Source organism: Homo sapiens, chromosome 7 (assembly GCF_000001405.40).
Source record: "Homo sapiens chromosome 7, GRCh38.p14 Primary Assembly".
Taxonomy (NCBI): Eukaryota; Metazoa; Chordata; class Mammalia; order Primates; family Hominidae; genus Homo; species Homo sapiens.
Window position 1 is genome coordinate 139,506,810 of NC_000007.14, and position 16,540 is coordinate 139,523,349.

Here is a 16,540-nt window from a genome sequence, read left to right on the forward strand (position 1 = left end):
ACCACTGCACTCCAGACTGCTGGGGTGACAGAGGGTTACCCTTTCTCAAAAAAATAAATAAATAAATAAATAAACGAAACAATTTAAATGTCCATCAATAGAAGAATAGGACGGGCACAGTGGCTCATACCTGTAATCCCAGCACTTTGGGAGGCTGAAGCAGGAGGATTGCTTGAGCCCAGGAGTTTGAGACCAGCCTGGGCAACATAGTGGGACACCATCTCTACAAAAAATAATTTTTAAAAATCAGCAATGGGGCTAATGGTGATGTGCACCTATAGTACCAGCTACTCAGAAAGCTAAGGCGGGAAGATGGCTTAAGGCCAGGAGGTCAAGGCTACAGTGAGCCATGATTGCTCCACTGCACTCCAATCTGAGTGACAGAGTGAGATCCTGTCTCAGAAAACAAATAAACAACAACAACAACAAAATAGAATAATGAAATAATTGTGGTAACGCCATACTCTAGAATTCTATTTTTTGTTTATTTATTTATTTTTATTATACTTTAAGTTCTAGGGTACATGTGCACAATGTGCAGGTTTGTTACATGTGTATACATGTGCCATGTTAGTGTGCTGCACCCATTAACTCGTCATTTACATTAGGTATATCTCCTAATGCTATCCCTCCCCCCTCCCCCACTATTTATTTATTTTTCATAATAAAATAGACACAGGAGTCTCACTATGTTGCCCAGAATGGTCTCGAACTCCTGGGCTCAAGCGATCCTCCCACCTTGGCCTCCCAAAGTGCTGGGATTACAGGTGTGAGCCACTGTTCCTGGCCTGCTCTGGAATTCTAGGTTAAGAATGTGATGGAGCTATATGAAATGACACAAGAAGCAAGTTTGCAGAGTGTATGAAGTCATCCCATTTGTGTGAAAAAAAGTTCATAAGGATTTATTTTGCATACATTTAAAAAGTACTTAGACGCATGTAAATAGTATGCCAAATTCTAAAGAAAAATTATTTTAAACATTTATATGTTGTTTACATGAAAACAGCCTACGTGTTAGTTTTACAATAAGAAAATCCATGCTTATTTTTGTTGTTTTATAATAGAAACAAAAAGTCTGATCAGATTTGGTTTTTTTTTCCTTAGCTAGTGTGAGTTGAGTTTTCTGTGACTCGCGGGTCCTGTTACCCTCCAGGGAAAAGGCTAATGCATGAGGCAGTGATTTTTGGCAGGATGGTTCCTAAGGCATCATTCTCCTCCAAAAGTCAGTGTTTTAGCCAGGCCCAGCTTTTTCTTGACTGTAGGTTTTGTTTCCATCAGGAAATGCTAAATATATTCCCCACTGATTCGCAGAGCTCGTTCCTAGTCTACCTTTGTGATGAGTGAGGCATGGGGTCTCTCTCTCAGGAACTTCTAATGAGAACAAGAGCCTACCAGGCGACTGAGCTGAGAGCCTGAGCTGAGTACATCATTCATCTCTGCGTTCCTGGTACCCAGCACAGTGCTTCATGCATAGCTGACGCTAATTGTTGAATGAATTTGTGGAAGGAAGAAGGAACCTTTGAGTCCTGTCAGCTTGATTCTCATGTGTCTGGGGAAGTGGGGTGTCTGGGGAAGTGGGGTGTCAGTGAAGATGGCTTACAGTTCCTGGCTGGTGAGTCCAGGTTTGCCTCCAGTGGTCCCTGTTTTGTAAGGTTATGCTCAGAGGGTCCTGCCACCCGAGAAGCACCTTATGACATCAGCACACAGGAGCAGACGCCATGCCTGGGCCTGAGCTCAGAAACAATACCCAGGAATTGATCTGACATTTCTTAGCAATTTCCAGAATGTTTCTGCTACATGATAGCTAGACATAGGCCTGGTGCAGTGGCTCATGCCTGTAATCTCAACACTTTGGGTGGCTGAGATGGGCAGATGGCTTGATCCCAGGAGTTTGAGACCAGCCTAGGCAACATAGTGAGACGCTGTCTCTATTTCATTTTTTGAAGAAAATGGGCGGGGAATGGTGGCTCGTGCCTGTAATCCCAGCACTTTGGGAGGCGGAGGTGGGCGGATCACAAGGTCAAGAGATGAAGACCATCCTGGCCAACATGGTGAAACCCTGTCTCTACTAAAAATACAAAAATTAGCTGGGTGTGGCGGCGCGTGCCTGTAGTCCCAGCTACTCGGGAGGCTGAGGCAGGAGAATCGCCTGAACCTGGGAGGTGGAGGTTGCAGTGAGCCGAGATCGCACCACTGCACTCCAGCCTGGTGACACAGCGAGATTCTGTCTCAAAAAAATCAAAACAAAACAAAACAAAAAAGAAAATAATTTTATTTTAAAAACCCAATAGCTAGACATAAACATTAACCACCTCACATATAAACATTAATCACCTCGCGTAAGCAATGGTGAGTGGTGTTAATAGCCAAAGCAAAATAAGCACTTCCGGGGCAGCTTTGGGGCCCGGGTACCAAGGAAGGGCCTGGGTGGGCTTGCAGCTGCTCTGAGCTCCTCCAAAGACCCGTTGGACCCCAAATCCAGGCCTGCGCAGAGACTAGCCCTCCCTATCCCCAGTCTTGAGCTCTTACAGCTGAGCCTCAAGTTACCCTTTTCAGCTGAAAGTATCCCCAGCCTCTGCCTCCAACCAAAAAAATGTGATGGAGGCCTCTGCTTTGCCCCAGCTCCTGCTCTAGGCCCCTGGGCCTTGCTATCAAAATCTCTTCCAGTTCACAGACTCCACACACCTATACCTACACACACCTACCTAGTGGTCTTCTCCATTCTCTGTAGGGGTAAAAATTCTAATATAGATGTTCTGAATGGGACTAAACAGTTGGGCCTGGTTAGTTGATATTCACTGAAAATGCACATGTACGCAGTTAAACATCAGAAAGATAGAAAACAGAAAAAAGAGTCTTCATTCCACCCTTCATTCCAGACCTACTACTGCCAGGTCTGCACTATAGAGATAAACACCATTAACTGTTTCTTGCGTATTCTTCCAAAAATCTATACAAACACATACACTCATCCACACCCACATGTCTTCTGTACCTTGCTTTCTTCTAACTTAATGTATCTTGGAGATTGTTCCAAATCAGGATATACACATCAGCATTATTCTTTTTAAAAAGATGCATACTATTCCAGTGTATATGTAGCTTTTTCTTCCCCAGGAAGCTTTCCCCTTTCCTCTTATAATAGCAGCCTGATTTTTGGGGGGGAATCATGTCTTCCCCATTTTCAGTTCTTTGATTTAGGTGGAGGTGACCTAGGGTTGGGCAGATGACCCAGGCCTTACCACCATGACTGGTTCAGAGATGGACACAGAACCCATGCTGGGGCAGTGCCAATCATGACCAGGACTTTCTTTGAAGTATTAAAGGAAGAGAAGCTCTTTTTTCTGCTGGCTTCACACATGAGGAGATACTGGCCTGGAGTGCTGGAAGCCAATTTCTCATGGTGTGGAGTCCGAGAATAAAGCTCGCATGGTGAAGAACAAAGCCAACATATGGAGAGAGACGGTGCTCGTCTTATTTCTTTTTAATTTTTTAATTTTTAATTTTTATTTATTTTATTTTATTTTTGACAGAGTTTTGCTCTTGTTGCCCAGGCTGGAGTGCAATGGCGCAATCTCCGCTCACTCCAACCTCTACCTCCTGAGTTCAAGCAATTCTCCTGCCTCAGCTTCCCGAGTAGCTGGAATTACAGGCGCCCGCCGACACACCTGGCTAATTTTTGTATTTTTAGTAGCAACGGGGTTTCACCATGTTGACCAGACTGGTCTTGAACTCCTGACCTCATGATCCACCCCCCTCAGCCTCCCAAAGTGCTGGGATTACAGGTGTGAGCCACCGTGCCCGGCCTGGTGCTTGTCCTGACGACACAGCCAATGTGCCTGGTTCAGGCAGTACTCGGATCCCTTCCTCTCACGCTGGACTTTCAGTTACATAAGACAATGAATTCCTTTTTTTTTTGCCAGAACCAACGTGGGTTAGGCTTTCTGTTGCTTACCCTGGGAAGAGTCCTGATATAGAAACTGGCATAAAGAATGGAGGATTATTGACTAGGTACAGTGACTCATGCTTGTAATCCCAGCACTTTGGGAGGCTGAGGCGGGTGGATCACTTGAGGCCAGGAGTTTGAGACCAGCCTAGCCAACATGGCAAAACCCACTCTCTGCTAAAAATACAAAAATTAACCAGGCGCGGTGGCATGCGCCTGTGATCCCAGCTACTTGGGTGGCTGAGGCAGGATAATTTGCTTGAACCTGGGAGGTGGAGGCTGCAGTGAGCTGAGATTGCGCCACTGCACTCCAGCCTGGGTGACAGAGCAAGACTCTGTCCCCCAAAAAATAAGAAAAAAATAAAATAATGGAGGATTGCAGTGACCCTAAAGTATAGAATTGGACGAGTCAAGGTAAGATGAAGACCCTTCTATCCTTGGCTAGCACATTGATGATTCTTGTTATGTAACAATGCAGCAACAAATTAAATTGTTGCCCCTCAAACCAGGTGTTTACCAATGCAGGAGAGCTAGGAGGCTGAAGAGATGAAGTTGATGAGCTTCTTCTGCCACTTTGGGTAAGATCTTACATGAAAGAAACAAACCTCAAGGACATTCTGACCCGTGCTACAACCGTGTTGAATCTTGGCATTATCCTAAGTGAAATCAGCCAGCCACAAAAAGACAAATACTGTTTGATTCCACTTATGCAAGGTCCCTAGAGTAGTCAAATTCATACAGACAGAAAAGAGAAGGGTGGTTGCCAAGGGAGCCGGGGAAGGGGAGATGGGGAATTGTTGTTTAACAGGGACAGAGTTTCAGTTTTACAAGATGAAAGGAGTTTAGGAGATGGTGACGGTTGCACAACAATATGAAAATACTGAAGGAATGCCACTAAAATGTACGTTTGAAAATGATTCAGATGGTAAATTTTATGTTCTGTGTATTTTATCACAATTTAGAAAAAAACCCGACAACACACACAGAAGGGAGAAAATGCAGCTTTGTTAAGAAAGGCCCTTTCTGTCTAGCAATGCTGCCCTAGAACAGTGGAATTATCTGCAGTGCACTAAATCTACTGTGAGCAAAGCCTGGGAGGCAGAAAACACAGCAAGAGAGAAGGGTGGAATTTAGGAGAATAAGGATGATAACATTTTGGTGTCTCCTATAAATGTTTTACAGCCAGGAGCTGTGGCTCACACCTGTAATCCCAGCACTTTGGGAGGCCGAGGCAGGTGGATCATGAGGTCAGGAGATCGAGACCATCCTGGCTAACACGGTGAAACCCTGTCTCTACTAAAAATACAAAAAATTAGCCAGGCATGGTGGCATGCACCTGTAGTCCCAGCTACTCAGGAGGCTGAGGCAGGAGAATCGCTTGAGCCCAGGGGGCAGAGGTTGCAGTGAGCCAAGATCACACCACTGCACTCCAGCCTGCGCAACAGAGTGAGACTCTGCCTCAAAAATAAAAAAAAATACGTATATGACCTCATCTATTTCTTATAACAACCCACAAAGTTGGTACTGTTCTACAGATGAGGAAAATAAAGTCATGGGAAGTTAAATGAATCCATCCTGATGAAGTAGGTAACAGAGCCAGGCTGTGCCCTAGTCAGTCTGGGTCAGGCCTGAGCTTCTAACCTTTACACCACGTGGGTTCTGCAACATCTGGGCCCTTCTTCTTCTTCAACATCTGGGCTCTTCTTCTTCTTCCTTTTCCTCTTCTTCTTCTTCTTTTTTTTTTTTTTTTGAGATGGAGTCTCACTCTGTTGTCCAGGCTGGAGTGCAGTGGTGAGATCTTGGCTCACTATGAACTCCACCTCCTGGGTTCAAACAATTCTCGTCCCTCAGCCTCCAGAGTAGCTGGGACTACAGGTGCACCACCACCGCACCTGGCTAATTTTTGTATTTTTAGTAGAGAAGGCGTTTTGCCATGTCGGCCAGGTTGGTCTCGAACTCCTGACCTCAAGTAATCCACCCACCTTGGCCTCCCAAAGTGCTGGGATTACAGGCGTGATCCACTGCGCCCAGCCCTTTCTGCTTCTTCTAAACACCTCCTTACCAGTACCTCAAGGCAGAGACCAAGATGGGGATACTTAGCGATTGATCAGAGCACTGAGGCCTGATTCAAGACATGGAAGTTTCCACGGCAGATCCTGGAATCAAACACTGCCCCTTGGCAAGATCTCTGGCTTTGTGCATTGACTGGAAGCAAATAGCCAGCGTAGCCCTGAAATCCCAAGGGAATTGTGCCGGCAGAGGAACTGGCATTTGGCTCACAAAGGCTGGGGTTTGCCAACCTCACAGAATAATCTCCAAGCCCTGTGGCACCAACGAGGAGCAGGCTGTGCCTCTGGCTCTGCAGACAAGACATGTCACCTTGCCCATCCTCAGGAGATCTTTCCCTCATTCCCACACCCTTTAAATCCTCCAGACTCTTCCTTCTCTAGAAAAATCATTGGAGCAGCTGAGGGAAACATTTGACCATGAGAAATTATCTGCTGATTCAAACCACTTGATGTGCGTGGACCAAGAACTCACCCAGCCAAGGCTCAAGTCCTGGGCTATAATATCACTGACGACATTTCCCACAGTTGGCTCTGGGATCTGAACAGCTCTTGGCCCAAGTCTTCTGACGATCCCCACTCTTCCTGCTTTGAGCGATCTATTTGTGTCCCCTACTTGGGGTTGCACATAGAGGCTGTGTATCAGGGTTGGGCTGAGGGTGGAAAGGCTTCTGTGTCTTCGCCTGGCCTGGGAGGAGGATGATAGCAAGGAGTTGAGGAAGAGTTACATCACTGGGAACCCGTGGCAAAGGCAGGACTCAGGTGTGGTCCTTAACTGCCAGGGAGACTTGTTCTAGCAAGAAGAGCCAGGGTCCAGAGGGAAGCAGAGGTAGGCTTTACAGAGGCACGGGCTTGGGCCAGTGGAGAGGCATTTCTTCAACAGACAGCAGCGCCCACCGCTACTCCACAGAAAGGACAGTGTCCACCTGAATCCCAGGAAGAAGGGCCTTGAAGCCTCCGTGGCTCTGAGCAGAGTAGTAGGTCATATAGTGATACTCACATTGTCTTGGCAACGGGAATTTGATTGCTTTTTAAATTGTTTTATTGTAAACTGACAAATTATATATATATATATATATATATCTATATATATCTTTTTTTTTTTTTTTTTTTTTTTGAGACCGAGTCTCACTTTGTCACCCAGGCTGGAGTGCAGTGGTACAATCGCCTCAGCCTCCTGAGTAGCTGGGACTACAGGCACCTGCTACCACACCTGGCTAATTTTTGTATTTTTGGTAGAGACGGGATTTCACCATATTGGCCAGGCTGGAATGTTTTTAATTAAAAAAATTTTTTTTTAGCAATAAGGTCTTGCTCTTTGCCAAGGCTGGATTGCAGTGGCATAGTCATAGCTCACTGCAGCCTCAACTCCTGGGCTCAAGCAATCCTCCCACCTCAGCCTCCCGAGCAGCTGGGACCACAGGCAATGCCACCACACCTGCGTAATTTTTTTTTTTTTTTTGAGACGGAGTTTCGCTCTTGTTGCCCAGGATGGAGTACAATGGCGCAATCTCAGCTCACCGCAACTTCCGCCTCCCAGGTTCAAGCAATTCTCCTGTCTCAGCCTCCCGAGTACCTGGGATTACAGGCCTGCACCACCACGCCCAGCTAATTTTGTATTTTTAGTAGAGACGGGGTTTCTCCATGTTGAGGCTGGTCTTGAACTCCTGACCTCAGGTGATCCGCCCGTCTCGGCCTCCCAAAGTGCTGGGATTACAGGCATGAGCCACCGCACCCAGCCTCCACCTGGGTAATTTTCAAATATTTTTTTAAAGATGGGGTCTTGCTATGTTGCCCAGGCTGGTCTGGAACTCCTGGTCTCAAGTGATCCTCCTGCCTTGGCCTACCAATGTGCTGGGATAACAGACGTGAGCCACTAGGCCTGGCCTATAATTGTATATATTTATGGATACAAAGTGATATTATATGTATACAATGTAGAATAATTAACTCAAACTAATTAACACATCCGTCACCTCAAATACTTATTTTTTTGTGGTAACATTTGAAATATACAATACTGTACTGTACATTATTATTAACTATAGTCACTATGCAGTGCACTAGATCTCAAAAAACTTATTTCTCCTAAGGGAAACTTTGTGCCCTTTGACCAGCAACTCTCTATGTCCCCCACTCCCCGTGGATTGGATTGTTAACAGCCAAGAATAGACTGAGGAAGGAGAACGTGTCAAAATACGATCATGTAATAAAACATCCTCCACTTCCAGTACTTAGTATTTCTGCTCTTTGTCTTGGTTTCACAATTTGTTTTACTTGATTAACTTATTAAAATGTAGTGGTTATTTATTTATTTATTTTGAGACAGAGTCTTGCTCTGTCACCTGGGTTGGAGTGCAGTGGTGCAATCTCGGCTCACTGCAACCTCCACCTCCTGGGTTCAATATATTTGTTATTATAATTCACCTCTTCCTAGCCCTTTCTCCCAAGAACTAAGTCCTCCCTGGCGTCCCACAGTAACGTGAAGACAAGGGCAGCCTGGTTGCAGATCTTAGGTGGCTTCATTAATTTCTGCCATGTGGCAGACTGGGGGGAAGGCCATGTGATTTCTCAAGCCCAGTCCAAAGGAATAGACTGAGAAACCTATAACCCACCTATGGCTAAGTTCTCATTCATATGCAAATACCTTTCCCAGCATCCTCCCCATTCTGCGCCTCCTCATCATCCCAACGGCCCACCCACTATGCTCACCTAGCAAGCGGTGAGAACATTTCCTTCCGCATGGGAGGAACAGGCCAGCCAATAAGGCCTTTGCCTGATTCGGAGTCATTTGTCTTCAGGAGTCCCATCCAGTGACCATTTTCCTTCGGGCTCATGGCATCTTGTGCTTTATGGGGTCGCTGAGTCGCTGACACCCTGCCATTGAATGTGTTGCTTAAATCAGGGATTGTGAACTGACAGCTCAGGAGTTCATCCATCCTGCAGATGTGTTTTGTTTTGTTTGGGCTCAAAACGACGTTTTGTATTAAAAATCTGAATTATTTGCCGGCATTAAAAATTGCAAAGCTTCATCTAACAACTCAGATTCCCAGCTCCTTTGGGAAAACGGAAAGTTCTGGTAATAGTGGGGCAGTGTTTTTAATGACCTGCTGACATGAGCAGAGGTTGGGGGACTTACTCCCTCCTATAAAATGTCTAGGGAGATTTCAGCTTGCAGCGCTGTCCCCTCCCTGGTCCAGTAAACACCAACATTCCAGAAATGCTCAAGGACTCATTGGGAAAAGACAAAGGATTCAGGTCTAAGCATCACACTCTGGCAGGTGGCAGGATAATTCATTGATATAAAAGTGTTTGGAGACCAAGGCAGGCGGGGAGGCTGAGGTGGATGGATGACTTGAGGCCAGGAGTACGAGACCAGCCTGGCCAACACGGTGAAACCGTGTCTCTACTAAAAATACAAAAACTAGCTGGGCATGGTGGTGCATGCCTATAGTCCCAGCTACTTGAGAGGCTGAGTCAGGAGAATCACTTTAACCTGGGAAATGGAGGCTGCAGTGAGCCAAGATCATGCCACTGCACTCCAGCCTGGGCAACAGAGCAAGACTCTGTCTCAAAAAAAAAAAAAGTTTTTTGTCTCTCTACGTATTTCCTAACTGTAAGCAATTTGGCAGGCTTTGTACCTCCTTTCCTACAGGATTTCAGTGGGGCAGACAGCAAAGCAGCCTGAGAATGAGGCTGGTCTGTACTGAAAACCTAAGGCCACTAGGAGATTATAGGGTGTCCTGGAAAAAGAGAGGAAAAGGGAGAGAGCCTTGGAGAGGTGGTGAAGTGAGGGGGCTCACCCTGCCTGAGAAGGGCAGAAAGGTCTGAGGCCCCTCAAGTGCCACAAGGCCATCCACCGCTTAATGATAGCCTCCTGAAAGGGACCACATGGCAGAGTGGCCAGGAGAGGCAGGCCTGTGCCCCCAGAACCCCAGCACCAGCAAAGACCCCATATCTTGTGAAAGCCAGGAAGCAGGACCTGCTGGGCTTCAAGGGACACGCTGATTTGATGTCAGCTATGGCCACGGTAGACCTTCCCTCCTAAGCCCTGGGGATTCTGACACAGCCTTGGAAGAATGAGGAGCCCTCTGCCAGGTGCGGTGGCTCACGCCTGTAATCCCAGCACTTTGTGGAAGGCTGAGGTGGGCGGATCGCTTGAGGTCAGGAGTTCAAGACCAGCCTGGTCAATATGGCAAATCCCTGTTTCTACTAAACATACAAAAATTAGCTGGGCCTGGCAGCAGGCATCTATAATCCCAGCTTCTTGGGAGGCTGATGCAGGAGAATCACTTGAACCCGGCAGGTGGAGGTCACAGTGAGCCGAAATTGCACCACTGCACTCCAGCCTGGGTGACAGAGTGAGACTCCATCAAAACAAACAAACAAACAAACAAAAGCAATGAGGAGTCCTCAAAACTGGCTGAGAAGAAAAGGAATAAAGGACTGACCCATGCTATGACATGTGACCCTTGAAAACATTATGCTCAGTGACAGAAGCCAGTTTCAGGAGACCATGGATTGTACAATTCCATTTATATGAGATGTTCAATATAGGCAAATTCATAGAGACAGAAAGTAGATTAGTGGTTACTTATAAGTAGTAAATGAAAAATAGTAATACAGAAAAAGGAAAGAAAGTAGACTAGTGGTTGCCAGAGGCCGGGGGTGAGGGGAAATGGAGAGTGGCTGATTGGCGGGCACAGGATTTCCTTATGGGGTGTGAGCATGTTCTGGAATTAGACAGTGGTGAGGGTTGTGAATATACTAAAGGTGAGAATTGTGGGCTTTAAAATGGTTAAAATAGTGAATTTTATGTTATTTAGATTTTAGTTCAATAAAAATTTTTAAAAACTTTGATGGAATTTCCTTTTTTTTTGACACAGAGTCTCATCCACTCTGTTGCCCAGGCTGGAGTGCAGTGGCAAGATCTCTGCTCACTGCAACCTCTGCCTCCCGGGTTCAAGCAATTCTCCTGCCTCAGTCTCCCAAGTAGCTGGGACTACAGGCGCGTGCCACCACACCCAGCTAATTTTTGTATTTTCAGTAGAGATGGGGTTTCACCATGTTGGCCAGGCTGGTATCAAACTTCTGGACTCAAGTGATCCACCTGCCTCAGCCTCCCAAAGTGCTGGGATTACAGGCATGAGCCACTGCGCCCAGCCAGATGGAATTTTCTACCCCCATAATGGCATGGTGACCTGAAGTTACAATTCAGTTGACTTAAAAGAAGGAAAGTACATGTCATTATTTTTTCAACCTCTGAATCTGTGGGCCAGGAGTCACACCTATTCCATAACTCTAAGAAAAGGAGACGGAGTCAGTATCCTGAGACACAGGGGAAGGCAGGACAGAGACATTCAGAGATGGGGACATGCACTTTGTTAGAAAGTAGTAAATAAATAAAAAAAAAAACCCTGCCCTGAAGACCAAGGGAAGACTGGTGCTGGCCAGGCTGCATTTGAAATCTTCCCAGACCTCTACTTAAGCTCACTCTAAATCTGATCAAGTTTCCTGTTGGACCTCCTTGACAGCATGTGACATGGAGGTTCACATGCAGGGGTTCCCTGGGGAATTTTAGGTGTCCGTTATAAGAGTCTAGGAATCTGAAGGGGTTTGAAAGCGGAGGGTTTACTACTTGCTACACCCTCGTGGGACAAAACTGGGTTCTGAAAGGTAAGCAGTATGTCCCCTGCTTGCTCCTGGGAGTACAGCTGGTGCAGCCTTCGTCGCCTGAGCTCAAGGAAGGGCCGTCTTAGAAACTCTACAGTCGCTCAGGGATAGAGGGCAGGTTTTTTTGTTTGTTTGTTTTTGTTTTTGTTTTGTTTTGTTTTGTTTTGATGGAATCTGGCTCTATCTCCCAGGCTGGAGTGCAGTGACATGATCTCCGCTCACTGCAAACTCTGCCTCCCGGGTTCATGCCATTCTCCTGCCTCAGCCTCCCGAGTAGCTGGGACTACAGGCACCCACCACCATGCCCGGCTAATTTTTTGTATTTTTAGTAGAGACGGGGTTTCGCAACGTTGGGCAGGCTGGTCTTGAACGCCTGATCCCAAGTGATCCACCTGCCTCAACCTCCCAAAGTGTTGGGATTACAGGCGTGAGCCACCGCGCCCGGCCTAGGGCGGGGGGTCTTGATGGGTTTTATCCATTTTCATGAGCACCTCCTTCTTGAGGAAGTGGACCCTTTCACAGCCGTAAGGGTCATTGTCTTTTGGGTTCCCCCCAAAACATACCCTGACACAAGGATTTAAGTGCAAGTAATTTATTTCGGAAGTGATCCCAGGAAGCATCAGGAGAGGAGCAGGGAAGCTGACAAGGGCGTGCGGGGACTCTGGGAGGCTTAGATCCTACCTCTGATAGGTCCTGAAGTATTGTGATTGACTGTCGGAAGCCTTCTAAGGTCAGCGCCACTGCCGATGCGTTGGTATTACACCTTTGTTACTCCTTTTATCTTAACCGTTTATTTCAAGAGTTTCTTTGCTGATCTGCTCCCAGACTGGTTTGTACCTGGTACCAAAGTTAATTTTCTTTTTTTTATTTTTTATTTTTTATTTTATTATTTTTTTTTTTATTGATCATTCTTGGGTGTTTCTCGCAGAGGGGGATTTGGCAGGGTCACAGGACAATAGTGGAGGGAAGGTCAGCAGATAAACAAGTGAATAAAGTTCTCTGGTTTTCCTAGGCAGAGGACCCTGCGGCCTTCCGCAGTGTTTGTGTCCCTGGGTACTTGAGATTAGGGAGTGGTGATGACTCTTAACGAGCATGCTGCCTTCAAGCATCTGTTTAACAAAGCACATCTTGCACCGCCCTTAATCCATTTAACCCTGAGTGGACACAGCACATGTTTCAGAGAGCACAGGGTTGGGGGTAAGGTCATAGATCAACAGGATCCCAAGGCAGAAGAATTTTTCTTAGTACAGAACAAAATGAAAAGTCTCCCATGTCTACCTCTTTCTACACAGACACGGCAACCATCTGGCTCTATCTCCCAGGCTGGAGTGCAGTGACATGATCTCCGCTCACTGCAAACTCTGCCTCCCGGGTTCATGCCATTCTCCTGCCTCAGCCTCCCGAGTAGCTGGGACTACAGGCACCCACCACCATGCCCGGCAACCACGATTTCTCAATCTTTTCCCCACCTTTCCCACCTTTCTATTCCACAAAACTGCCATTGTCATCATGGCCCGTTCTCAATGAGCTGTTGGGTACACCTCCCAGACGGGGTGGTGGCCGGGCAGAGGGGCTCCTCACTTCCCAGTAGGGGCGGCCGGGTAGAGGCGCCCCTCACCTCCCGGACGGGGCGGCGGCCGGGCGGGGGGCTGATCCCCCCACCTCCCTCCGGGACGGGGCGGCTGGCCGGGCGGGGGGCTGACCCCCCCATCTCCCTCCCGGACGGGGTGGCTGCCGGGCGGAGACGCTCCTCACTTCTCAGACAGGGCGGTTGCCAGGCAGAGGGTCTCCTCACTTCTCAGACGGGGCGGCCGGGGAGAGACGCTCCTCACATCCCGGACGGGGCGACAGGGCAGAGGCGCTCCCCACATCTCAGACGATGGGCGGCCGGGCAGAGGCGCTCCTCACATCCCAGACGGGGCGGCGGGGCAGAGACGCTCCTCACTTCCTAGATGGGATGGCGGCCGGGAAGAGGCACTCCTCACTTTCCAGACTGGGCAGCCAGGCAGAGAGGCTCCTCACATCCCAGACGATGGGCGGCCAGGCAGAGACGCTCCTCACTTCCCAGACTGGGCAGCCAGGCAGAGAGGCTCCTCACATCCCAGATGATGGGCGGCCAGTCAGAGACGCTCCTCACTTCCCAGACGGGGTGGCAGCCGGGCAGAGGCTGCAATCTCGGCACTTTGGGAGGCCAAGGCAGGCGGCTGGGAGGTGGATGTTGTAGCGAGCCGAGATCACGCCACTGCACTCCAGCCTGGGCACCATTGAGCACTGAGTGAAGGAGACTCCGTCTGCAATCCCGGCACCTCGGGAGGCCGAGGCTGGCGGATCACTCGCGGTTAGGAGCTGGAGACCAGCCCGGCCAACACAGCGAAACCCTGTCTCCACCCAAAAAATACGAAAACCAGTCAGGCGTGGCGGCGCGCCCCTGCAATCGCAGGCACTCGGCAGGCTGAGGCAGGAGAATCAGGCAGGGAGGTTGCAGTGAGCCGAGATGGCAGCAGCACAGTCCAGCTTCGGCTCGGCATCAGAGGGAGACCGTGGAAAGAGGGGAGAGGGAGAGGGAGGGGGAGGGGGAGGGGGAGGGAGAGGGAGAGCCCAAAGTTAATTTTCCTAAAGCATGGTGTGATCATGACCTTTCTCTGCTCAAACACCTTTGATGCTTCCTTGTGCCTACATGAAGTCTGAAGCTTTGGGCCTGGTGTTCCAATGGGGCACTGCCCTAGGAATGGGGGATAGAGCAGTGCCTCTGCCCTCACCCCACAGCTGGCCATCTGGTTGGGGATCAAACAATGACAGTAGGATGTGGCAAGTGCTATGGGAAGAGAGGTGGAGAGTGTTCCAAAGGCCCAAAGGACAGGTGCCACAGTCTGGGATCACAGGAGGCTTAGGAGGCAGGGATTGCTGGTCATGCACATATTCCATTCCCCCCTTCTTCCTAACAGAATCTCTGCATTATTGAGCGTGGCAATGGCTTTAGCTAATTGCCACTATACTCCACAAACTTACTTGAGAAAGAAGTGTCCAGTGGAAGGTAAGTGGAAATCACTGGGGGTTCCAGAAAAACTCTTTAAAGGAGTCTGATTCAACAAGAGGCATGCCCTTTTCCCCTTGGTTCTTCCTCTTTCTGTAATCTGGTGTGCAGGTGTGATGGCTGGAACCACAGTGGCTATAGTGTGACCATGAGGGAATCCTGAAGATGTAGGCTATATACTAAGGATGATGGGAGCAGAATGAGAGGAAGAGCTAGGGTCCCTGATGATCTTGGAGCTCTCAATCCAGCCCTGGGCTGATCACCTCTAGACTTCTTTCAGGTAAAAAAAACACAAAAAACCAAAAAACAAAAAACAAAAACCTTCTTTCTAGTTAAACTCTTACTGGGGTTTTCTGTTGTAGTCTTGTTGAACCTACTCTGAATGAATGCAGTATCCTAGAGACTGTGCAATCAGAAGCATTAGCAGAAATTTGGTAGGCAAACTAGGGTGCATGGGGGCTACAAGGAGGGGTTAGAAGGACCAAGGAGGAGATGTGTTCCAGGCAGAAGGAAGACAGTGTTCAAAGGCCCAGAGGAAAGAGTCAGAATAGTTAGGTGTGTCTAGGGCTGGCAGAGAAGGGGTGGGAGGAGAGGATGCCTTAGGTAGGAGCAGGACTTTGACCATGAGGGACCTTGAGGCCTTGTAAAAAGATGGCCTTAATCCACAGGTAAAGGGACCCCTGAAGGAGTGGTGAGTTTGCACTTTAGGTAGATGCTGCGGGTGTGGAGGGGGAGGGGCTGGATAGGAGGGAGCAAGAGTGGAGGATGGGAGACCCCTTAGAAGGCTGCTGCTGTGGTCGGGCAAGAGAAGGCATTGGCTTGTACTTGGCCAGTGGCTAGAGGGATGGAGTGCAATGCGCAGACTAAGAGTTTAAAAGGGGCCGGGCGGCCGGGCGCGGTGGCTCACGCCTGTAATCCCAGCACTTTGGGAGGCCGAGGCGGGCGGATCACGAGGTCAGGAGATCGAGACCATCCCGGCTAAAACGGTGAAACCCCGTCTCTACTAAAAATACAAAAAAATTAGCCGGGCGTAGTGGCGGGCGCCTGTAGTCCCAGCTACTTGGGAGGCTGAGGCAGGAGAATGGCGTGAACCCGGGAGGCGGAGCTTGCAGTGAGCCGAGATCCCGCCACTGCACTCCAGCCTGGGCGACAGAGCGAGACTCCGTCTCAAAAAAAAAAAAAAAAAAAAAAAGGGGCCGGGCACGGCAGCTCACGCCTGCAATCCTAGAACTTTGGGAGACCCAGGTGGGAGGATCGCTTGAGCCTGGGAGGCCGAGGCTGTAGTGACACTGCACTCCAGCCTGGGCTACAGAACGAGACCCTGTCTCAAAAAATAAAAATAAAAATATTTTAAAAGGGAGAATTCACAAGAGTCAGTGGCCTATTGGATTTGGGGGAGGGAGCAGGAGGAGCTGGGGATGAGGAACTGAAGATGGAGACAGGAACCAGAGGTTGGGGCTGAGAATGGTGGAGGGGGAAGAGGATCAGGGCTGGAGGCGTGGGGCTTCAGGCGACGCGAGGTCAGCTGAGGCAAGGGGCCAGTGAAGGCTCCGGAGGGAGCCCTGGCCTGGGAGTCAGACACCCGCCAAGCACGCACCTGCCTGGCGCCGCCTTCGGAAATGTCCTTGACCTCAAAATTCCACTTCTCAGCCTCACCTGGGGGCATTGTCAGCTAATAATATGTGAAAGTCCCTGGCGCTTAGTAGGTGCTCAATAAATGTTAATTGAATCTGCAACGTCACTTCGCTTGCTCCTTTAGACTCTACTGTCTCTGTGCTCATCGTTCGGACGTTTCTCTCCTTTATCAAGAGTTTGGGGGTC